This window comes from Homo sapiens, chromosome 12 (genome assembly GCF_000001405.40).
Source record: "Homo sapiens chromosome 12, GRCh38.p14 Primary Assembly".
NCBI lineage: Eukaryota > Metazoa > Chordata > Mammalia > Primates > Hominidae > Homo > Homo sapiens.
Window position 1 is genome coordinate 51,794,654 of NC_000012.12, and position 10,490 is coordinate 51,805,143.

At 45.9% G+C, this 10,490-nt stretch overlaps 1 protein-coding gene across 4 annotated transcripts in view; it reads left to right on the top strand.

Moving 5' to 3' along the window:
* Window positions 1-10,490, top strand: part of SCN8A (sodium voltage-gated channel alpha subunit 8) — a 221,632-nt gene that overhangs the window by 203,421 nt on the left and 7,721 nt on the right. The gene's annotated exons all lie outside the window — the stretch shown is intronic.

The window sequence follows — 10,490 nt, forward strand, 5'->3', positions numbered from 1 at the left end:
GGGGAAGTAGGCGAGGGGAAAGGGGACCTGACTGATTGTGAGGATGAGATTTCCCAGGAGAGGAATGAATGACACAGGTCTGAAGTGCAGGCAAGATACCCTCATAGCTTAAGTCCATGTGTGCCCCTGAGTCATCTCGGGGGCCTGCCTAGCAGGTTCCATGGTCAGTGAGTTTCTACTGAGTGTTCTCGGTAGTCTTGGATTATAAATTCTGTGGCTCAGGGAAAAAAGAAAAAAAAAGAAGATTGGTTCTTGCTTTTAAGGAGTTTAAAGTCTAACAGGGAAGGTAAAAGAAAGTTGTCATTAAAAAATGTAGCACAATAGAAGTATAAAATGAAAGAAGGAATGATTGCTAAGTTGGCCATTAATGAAATAGTCTAGGTAAGTTCTGGTGGTGATGGCCATGGTAGTGCTGCTGTTACTGGCAGGGCTTGTTTACTGAGATTTTACTGTGGGCCAACTACAGTTTGAGAGTTTCTTCACCTGTGTTATCTCATTTGATTCTTATTACATCCCAGGAAGCAAGCTTCTTTATTATCTGGACTGTATACATGTCCACAGCCACTCGCTAGGAGGTGGTGGAGGCATAACTCGAGTTGATCCCAAAGTCCAAGTTTTTTAACAGTGACTGTGTGCATTTTGCTTCAACCTAAAAGTGTGGGGGGATGATGTCCTGGCAGGCAGGCAGAAGGAAATGCCACCCTGTTGATTGCCCTCCCAAAATGTTTCCTTGCCTTCCTGAAAGGCATCTTTTGTGATAAAACTCAGCCTTGTTTCCAGGTAAGTTTGACTCATTTACACTAGAGAGAGTGCTCGAGACCCATGGGACCAGCCCCAGAGCTCCAGCGGCCATGCTGGGCCTAGTGTAGTGGTTATAAGGTACCAGAAGGCAGGGGTCTCCCCTTGGCCTGTGCCACCCTCTAGTTCTGTCCTCCAGAGCAGCATGTCCAAAAGTGTGTTGATATGTGGAACACTAATCCTAGACATTTCTCCTCAAGAAAAGAATCTCATGAGGGAATTACTTTAGGTAACACTGCCTTTAATTTTCCTTTGAGGATTCACAGTGCACATTACTGAATTCTCTTGGAAATCCTACGGTAAAGAATTCTGGGCCGGGTGCAGTGGCGCGTGCCTGTAATCCCAGCACTTTGGGAGGCAAGGCGGGCAGACAACTTGAGCCCAGGAGTTCAAGACCAGCCTGGGCAACATGATAAAACTCTATCTCTGAAAAAAAAAAAAAAAAATGAGCCAGGCATGGTGATACGTGCCTGTAGTCCCAGTTACTTGGGAGGCTGAGGTGGGAGGATTGTTTAAGCCCGGGAGGTCAAGGCTGCAGTGAGCTGAGATCACGCCATTACACTTCCTAGATGACAGAGAGAGACCTAGTCTCAAAAATAAAGAATTCTGTTTAAATGTAACATAGCATCCCACCTTTATTAGACCAGTTTCCTTTTTTTCAGTAATAATAATGATAGCTCACATTTAAATGGAACACATTATGTGCCAGGTACCATAATAAGTGCTTTAAATATGTTAATTCATATAATCCTCTCAACAAACCTCTAAGAATCCTGAGGAACTGAGGCACAGAGAGGTTCCCAAGACATGTGGCTGGTAAGTGAGCAAGTGGGGATTCAAGCCCAGCCCCTGGCCTCAAGTCCATTCTCCTAATTTCTCACAAAACACACTTTGGACAATGCTACCCTTGTCCACTGCTCTTGAAACTTTCCTGGCCACTTATCGTTGAGTGACACAGAAAATCCACAGACCAAATCATACCCCCTATTTTCAAATGGTACTCTAAAAAGAGGAAGATGTTTTTGATGATGGGGATTTTTATTAACATTAATTTGTTCAGAAACAAAAGTATAGAAATCATCTTTTTAAAGTAAGAAATGTATTAGAGTTTTGTAGAGGGACAAAACTAATAGGATAGATGTATATATGAAAGGGAGTGTATTAAGGAGAACTGACTCACGATCACAAGGTGAAGTCCCACGATAGGCCATCTGCAAGCTGAAGGGAGCCAGTAGTGGCTCAGTCTGAGTCTCAAATCCTCAAAAGTAGGGAAGCTGACAGTGCAGCCTTTGGTCTGGCCAAAGGCCAGAGAGCCCCTGGCAAACCACTGGTGAAAGTCCAAGAGTCTAAAAGCTGAAGAACTCAGAGTCTTATGTTCGAGGGCAGGAAGCATCCAGCGCGGGAGGAGATGAAGGCCAGAAGACTCAGCAAGTCAGCTTCTTCCATCTTCTTCTGCCTGCTTTTTCTAGCTGAGCTGGCAGCCGATTAGATGGTGCCCACCCACATTGAGGGTGGGCCTTCCTCTCCCAGTCCACTGACTCAAATTAAAAGTAATGGCAAAAACTGCAATTACTTTTGCACCAGCCTAATCTCTGGTAACACCCAGAAACGATACTTTGCATCCTTCAGTCCAATCAAATTGACACTTAATATTAACCATTACAAGTCCACCCCTTGCCAACTTGAACCCATACACATCTCCTGAAATCATACTTAATCTCCAAATAAATACAATAATAAGGTCCTAATTACGCCTAACATAATACAGCTATCCTTCATACAACCAGAAGCGCACTAATCCTTAACCTGAATGCTATTACATAAAGTTAACAACACTTAAATGCTGATACGAAGTCAACAAATCTTACGTCACATGATAAAGGAAAAAGAAAAGAACTAAAATGAAGATATTTTCCTAGTACAAGTGTATACATGCACAAACATGTTCTTAACAAAATGAGGAAATACTCATGACAATAGTCTTCATTTCTGCAACTGGTCACGTGGTCGTAGCTGGTATTGATGACTACCTTCTACTACTCATTCTATATTCACTTTGCCTTCAGCAAGCACCACGGCTGGTTGTGGTTATTTACCTGGTGGAGTGACCCAAATCTTCATTCCTAAAGGGTTTGGGGCATTTGTAGTCCTACCTGGATTGGGCTGTTGTAGTTTCCCATTGACCTTAATCACAGGGCATGCTAATACTAAGAGACGCCCTAAGGGATCTCCTGTATTCCATGCATACTCTTCCATACCTCCATTGTGGAGCAGTAGACTGATTTCATCTTGATAGTCTGGGTCAGTCACCCCAGCCAACACTATAACTCCCTTCTTAGACTGTTGACTTAGAGGTAGCCCAAAGTGGCTAGGTGGCCATCTTAACTTCAGGTTTAATGGAATCATTGTTGTGTCTCCTAGTGACAGCATTCCTCCCTCTGGAACTAAGACCTTTAGGCCAGCAGAACATAATGTCGCAGGAACAGGAGGCAAAAATTTTGCTAGCCGGTCACTAGGGGTGATGGGGAGTGGTGCCACTTCCATTTCCACCCCTTGATTCCTGGACCCATGAATCCTGGCTATGGGAGAAACAGTACCATATATTGGACACTGATTCAAAGCATACATGGCCTTCTGGAGAACTTTGCCCCAGCCCTGCAAAGTATTGTTACCTAGTTGGCATTGTAATCATGACTTCAAAAGGCCATTCCACCATGCTATCAATCCAGCTGCTTCAAGATGATGAGGAACATGGTAACACCAGTGAATTCCATGAGCATGAACCCACTGCCGCACTTCTTAGCTGTAAAGTGAGTGCCTTGGTCAGAAGCAATGCTGTGTGGAATACCATGATGGTGGGTAATGCATTCCGTGAGTCCACAGATGGTAGTCTTGGCAGAAGCATTGCATGCAGGATAAGCAAACCCATATCCAGAGTAAGTGTCTGTTCTGGTGAGGACAAACCGCTGCCCTTTCCATGATGGAAGAGGTCCGATATAAGCAGCCTACCACCAAGTAGCTGGCTGATCACCCCGAGGAATGGTGTCATATTGAGGGCTCAGTGTTGGTCTCTGCTACTGGCAAATTGGACACTCAGCAGTGGCCACAACCAGGTCAGCCTTGATGAGTGGGAGTCCATGTTGGTGAGCCCATGCGTAACCTCCATCCCTGCCACTATAGTCACTTTGTTCATGGGCCCATTGGGCAATGACAGGGGTGCCTGGGGAAAGAGGCTGAGTGGTGTCCACAGAATGAGTCATCCTATCCACCTGATTATTAAAAGCCTCCTCTGCTGAGGTCACCCTTTGGTAAGCATTCATGTGGGACACAAATATCTTCACAGTTTTTGACCACTCAGAGAGGTCCATCCACATACCTCTTCCCCAAATTTGTCACCAATCATGCTTCTTTGAAGTCCCTGACCATCCAGCCAAACCATTTGCTACAGCCCATGAATCAGTATATAATCACACATCTGGCCATTTCTCCTTCCATGCAAAGTGCACAGCCAGGTGCACTGCTCGAAGTTCTGCCCACTGGGAAGATTTCCCTTCAGTGCTCTCCTTCAGGGATGTCCTAGAAAGGGGCTATAGTGCTGCAGCTGTCCACTTTTGGGTGGTGCCTGCATTTCGTGCAGAACCGTCTGTAAACTAGGCCCTAGTCTTCTCTTCTTCTGTCAGTTGATCATAGCGAACTCCCCATGAGGCCATCTCTGCAGGCTCTGGGAGAGAAGGTAGGGTGGCAGCAGTGGGGACCATGGGCATTTGAGCTACTTCCTCTTGTAACTTACTTGTGCCTTTAGGACCTGCTCGAGCCCAATCAGGTGCATACCATTTCCATTTGACGATGGAATGCTGCTGTGCGCACCCAACTTCATGGCTAGATGGGTCAGAGAGCACCTAGTTCATGAGAGGCGGTTCAGGCCACATGGTAACTGGGTGACCCATGGTCAAACGTTCAGTTTCCACCAAAGCCCAGTAACAGGCCAAGAGCCGTCCCTCAAAAGGCGAGTAGTTATCTGCAGAAGATGGCAGGGCCTTGCTCCAAAATCCTACGGACCTCCTCTGTGATTCACCTATGGGGGCCTACCAAAGGCTCTAAACAGCATCCCTATCTGCCACTGATACCTCAAGCACCACTGGATCTGCTGGGTCATATAGCCCAAGTGGCAGAGCAGCTTGCACAACAGCCTGGACCTATTGCAGAGCCTTCTCCTGTTCTAAACCCCACTCAAAACTGGCAGCCTTTCAGGTGACTCAATAAATGGGCCGGAGTAACATACTCAAATGAGGAATGTGTTGCCCCCAAAATCCAAATAGGCCCACTAGGCGTTGTGACTCTTTCTTGGTTGTAGGAGAGGCCAAATGCAACAACTTATCCTTCACCTTAGAAGGAATATCTTGACAGGCCCCTCAGCACTGGGCCCCTAGAAATTTCACTGAGGTAGAAGGTCCCTGAATTTTAGTCTGATTTATTTCCCATCCCCTGGCACCCAAATGTCTCACCAGTAAGTCCAGTGTGTTTGCTACTTCTCGCTCACTGGGTCCAGTCGGCATAATGTCATCAATGTAATGGACCATCATGATATCTTGTGGAAGGGAAAAGCGATCAAGATCTCTGCGAGCAAGATTATGACACAAAGCCAGGGAGTTTATATACCCCTGAGGTAGGACAGTAAAGATATATTGCTGGCCTTGCCAGCTGAAGGCAAATTGCTTCTGGTGGACCTTATGGACAGGAATGGAGAAAAAGGCATTTGCCAAATCCGTAGCTGCATATCAGATACCAGGAGATGTGTTAATTTGCTCAAGCAATGAAACCGCATCTGGTACAGCAGCTGCAGTTGGAGTCGTCACCACTTGGTTCAGCTTATGATAATCCACTGTCGTTCTCCAAGATCTATCTGACTTCTGCACAGGCCAAATAGGAAAGTTGAATGGGGATGTGGTGGGAATCACCACCCCTGCATCTTTCAAGTCCTTGATGGTGGCACTAATCTCCACAGTCCCTCCAGGGATGCAGTATTGTTTTTGATTTACTGTTTTTCTAGGTAGAAGCAGCTCTAATGGCTTCCATTTGGCCTTTCCCACCATAATAGGCCTCACACTACCAGTCAGCCAATATGGGGATTCTGCCAGTTGCTAAGTATGTCTGTGTCAATTATACATTCTGGCACTGGGAAAATGACCACAGGATGAATCCGGGACCCACTGTAAGTCAGACCTGAGCTGAAACTTCATTAATTATCTGACCTCCATAAGCCCTTACTCTAACTGGAGGACCACAGTGATGTTTTGGGTCCCCTGGAATCATTGTCAGCTCAGAGCCAGTGTCCAGTGTCCAGTAGTCCCCGAAAGGGGACCAGTTACCCTGGTAAAAGACCGGAGGTCTCCTTGGGGAAGCATGGGAGAAAGATTAGCAGTATAAATTGTCAGTAGTGTAGTGGGGTCCTTCCTCAAAGGGACCAGGCCTCCCCTTTATTCAAGGGGAATATTATTCTGGGTCTGTACGCTGGTTCAAGTCTGGAAATTGGTTGAGGGGGCATGATTCTCTATTTTTATAATTCAAATTAGCCTTTTGTCCACTTGACCTGGAAGTTTTCTGCTTACACAAATCAAGAAAGAATGTAGTAGGCTTCCTATCAATTTCACTTCTAGGAACACCATGATTAATTAGCCAATGCCAGAGCTCTACACTAATCAGACTATTCTGAATGCTGCTTTGCCTCTGCTATCCATTATGGTAGCTACGCCCACCTTGCCTTTGACAGTTGAGTGCCCCCACTCAGCCCCTGCCACCTTGGGATCCAATTATTCCCATTGCATTTAAATTATCCAGTTAAGTGACTGCAGTTCCCACTGTAAGATCTGGCATACAGGGAAGAGCAATCACAGAGCTCTTCAAGGATGCAGGTGCTCCCCTCACAAATCTGTTTTGCAAGCTATTAAGGGTATGTCTTCTGGACCCTACCAGTTGGGATGAGTAGGTCTAAGGTGACTAATCCACTCTAGCATTCCAATCTCCCTAAGCCTTTGGATCCCTTCCTCTACATTAAACCAAGGGAGATCAGGCATTTCCAGCTTACTCACAGTGGGCCATCTTTTGATCCACGTTTCAGCTAACCAAGCAAATAAACTATTAGAACCTTTTTAACTCCCCGAGCTGCGATATTAAACACAGAATCCCTGCTTAGTGGGCCCATATCAATAAATTCAACCTGATCCAACTTTATGTTCCTTCCACCGTTGTCCTGCAACCTTAATATCCATTCCCATACCTGTTCTCCAGATTTCTGCTTATACAAATTAGAGAACTCCAGCAGGCCAGGCGCCATAGCTCATGCTTGTAATCCCAGCACTTTGGGAGGCTGAGGGGGGCGGATCACTTGACGTCAGGAGTTCAAGACCAGCCTGGCCAATATGGTGAAACCCCGTCTCTACTAAAAATACAAAAATTAGCCGGGCATGGTGGCATGCACCTGTAACCCCAGCTACTCCGGAGGCTGAGGCACGAGAATCACTTGAACCCAGGAGGTGGAGGTTGCAGTGAGTGGAGATTGCACCACTGCACTCTAGCCTGGGTGACAGAGCAAGACTCTGTCTCAAAAAAAAAGAAACTCAAGCAGTTCTTTTGGAGTGTAGCTCATCTCGTGAGTCACACTCTGAACCTCACTTCTAGAGAGCTGCCATGACTTGAGTCTAGTTACAGGTCTAGAAACAAACAGGGGTGTTGGGGGTGGGTTCAGAAGAGAATCAGCATTGTCTTGCTTCAGGGGAGACCACTGTTGCCTCAAGCATTGCAGGGTTAATCTCAGACAAATGTGGAAAGGCTGGTGGCAGCCTGGGTGGGGGAAGGGATATTGCCACCACTGGGGGTGAGGAGGCTGTTTTCTCTGGCAAAAAAGGCTGTCAGAGTTTACAAGCTCAGTGTCCCCAGCTTCATCAGGGTCCTCCCACACATCCCTATTCCAAGTCGCAGGGTCCCATTCTTTTCCAATCAGTGCCCTCACTTTAACAATAGATACCTAGGGAGGCTACGCATGCACCTTTCCTTGCAGGCCAGCCACTTGCGTGGTAAGAACTTGTGTCTGATTTTCCGCAAATTCAGCCCTTTGTCTACAGGAGATAAGACTCAGGGAAATCTTAGAAGACTTGAGGCTCAGTATGTGCTCTGGAGCTGGGAGTTAGAATCCCTGAGCTCATCCTTTTCTTTCATTACTTTCTCCAGTGAACTTAGGAGAACCAACCAACTTCATTATATTCCTTGGTTCTCCACATATGGTCAAATGTATTACGTACAGAGTCACTAAACTCCTTGCCTCTCAAGAACGACGAATCAGGAATATCAAATGCCATCTATTTTGCATAACTCTCTAAACAGTTCACACCAGGGACTATCAGTGTTCTCCATACTATCAGAAGTAGAGTCCTTAGCATTTTTGGGTCTAATCAGATTAAGCAGCCAACTCCAGAAACCCCAAAACCAACTAAAGAAATCTATTCTTAAAATTCTGTTCCTCTAGACCCACTCCTGGTACCAAAATCTGTCAGGGTTTTCTAGAGGGACAGAACTAATAGGATAGATGTGATCTCACATGATCACAAGGTGAAGTCCCACAGCAGGCCATCTGCAAGCTGAGGAGCAAGGAAGCCAGTAGTGGCTCAGTCTGAGTCCCAAATCCTCAAAAGTAGGGAAGCTGACAGTGCAGCCTTTGGTCTGTGGCCAAAGGCCCGAGAGCCCCTGTAAAACCACTGCTGTAAGTCCAAGGGTCCAAAAGCCAAAGAACTTGGAGTCTGATGTTCCAGGGCAGGAAGCATCCAGCGCGGGAGGAGATGAAGGCCGGAAGACTCAGCAAGTCAGCTTCTTCCACCTTCTTCTGCTTGCTTTTTCTAGCCGAGTTGGCAGCCGATTAGATGGTGCCCACCCACATTGAGGATGGGTCTTCCTCTGCCAGTCCACAGACTCAAATGTTAATCTCCTCTGGCAACACCCAGAAACAATGCTTTGCATCCTTCATTCCAATCAGGTTGACAATATTAACCATCACAAGGAATTGGGGTAAAACTAGCTCTGAAACCACCTACAGTACCCCTTAAATGGTGTTTCTACTGCCTACATTACTGTCTGCCCCATTTCTCCCTTTTTCTATGGGGACAAACACACATTCATCCTTCAAAACCTACCTCAGCCATCATCTTCTCTCTGAAGCCCTACTTGCCCACCATATATGGGCTGCAAGTATCACATATACTTGAATATATATTATATAACCTGACTTCTTTGGTCACTGGTTATGATTTAATTGAGAAGCTGAGAAATCATCATGGGTGGGTCCTGGCTAAGGTAGAGATTTTCTTGAAGGCTCAAATATCCCATGGAATTCTAGCTCCTGAAGAGGCTCCAAGAGGTTACTTGACCCGCTCGCTGAACTTACCGCATCTTGTCTTTTCCTGAAAAGCTAAGATTCTTCAAAGGGGATTCTATAGCCTTCTGCAGTTAACTGCCCCAGTGTTTATGCATTCTTATGAGTGAGAAATGTTTCCTTAAATTAAATCCCTCATGTCAGCTGAAGCTCCCATTGTCTTGTTAGTGCCTGGACGGCAAGAGAAGGTACTGAACGAAGAGAACATGTCAGTGCCTTCCCTTCGGTTGTCATTTCCCAGACTTTTCAACTCCCTTCCTTCTGTGGCCCCTCATTTGGGTCCCCTCATTGCTCTGTAGCTTTAAAGAACAAGTGGCCTGGTTGAGGTGAATCCCTGGACGAATATAACTAGAAAAAGGCGCTCCGATTTGTACACTTTCACCTTCTGCCTTTATATCCTAATGCCTTGGCATCTTTACCTGCTGATACTGGTTTCTTTTCTTTTTCTCTTTTCTTTTTTTTTTTTTTTTAAAGACAGAGTCTCTGCCTGTCGCCCAGGCTGGGGTGTGATCTCAGCTCACTGCAACCTCTGCCTCCCAGGCTCACGCAATTCTCCTGCCTCAGCCTCCTGAGTAGCTCGGGTTACAGGCATGCGCCACCGCGCCCAGCTAATTTTTGTACCTTTTTTTTTTTTGAGATGGAGTCTCACTCTGTCGCCCAGGCTGGAGTGCAGTGGCGTGATCTCAGCTCACTGCAACCTCTGCCTCCTGGGTTCAAGTGATTCTCATGCCTCAGCCTCCTGAATAGCTGGAATTACACTTGGCTAATTTTTTTGTATTTTTAGTAGAGACTGGGTTTTGCCATGTTGGCCAGGCTGGTCTTGAACTCCTAGCCTCAAGTGATCTGCCCACTTCAGCCTCCCAAAGTGCTGGATTACAGGCATGAGCCATTGCGCCCAGCCTGATACTGGTTTCTGATTCACGACTTGCAGCACAAAATCTATCAGCTCAGAGTTGAAAGTCACTCCTGAGAGTCCCTTTAGTTTTCTAGGCTAGTTTGGTAGACTAGGGAGGTAGGGCTATGGGAAACCAAAGATGTTTTTTCAGAGCAAAGAAGAAGATACTTTGAAAATTGCTAGCATTAGAGAATAAGTAAGACATCAAAGTTAAAGGATAATGAGGTTATGAGGTGTAGCCAGGACCTCTCATTTATTGTTTGTGGATATGGAAATTTGATTCCATTGTGGAGAGTATCAGTATCATCTTGGAAAATCATATGTGCACAAATCTGGAAAAAAAACCTAATCATTCTTGAGTAGAAAAACAAGTAA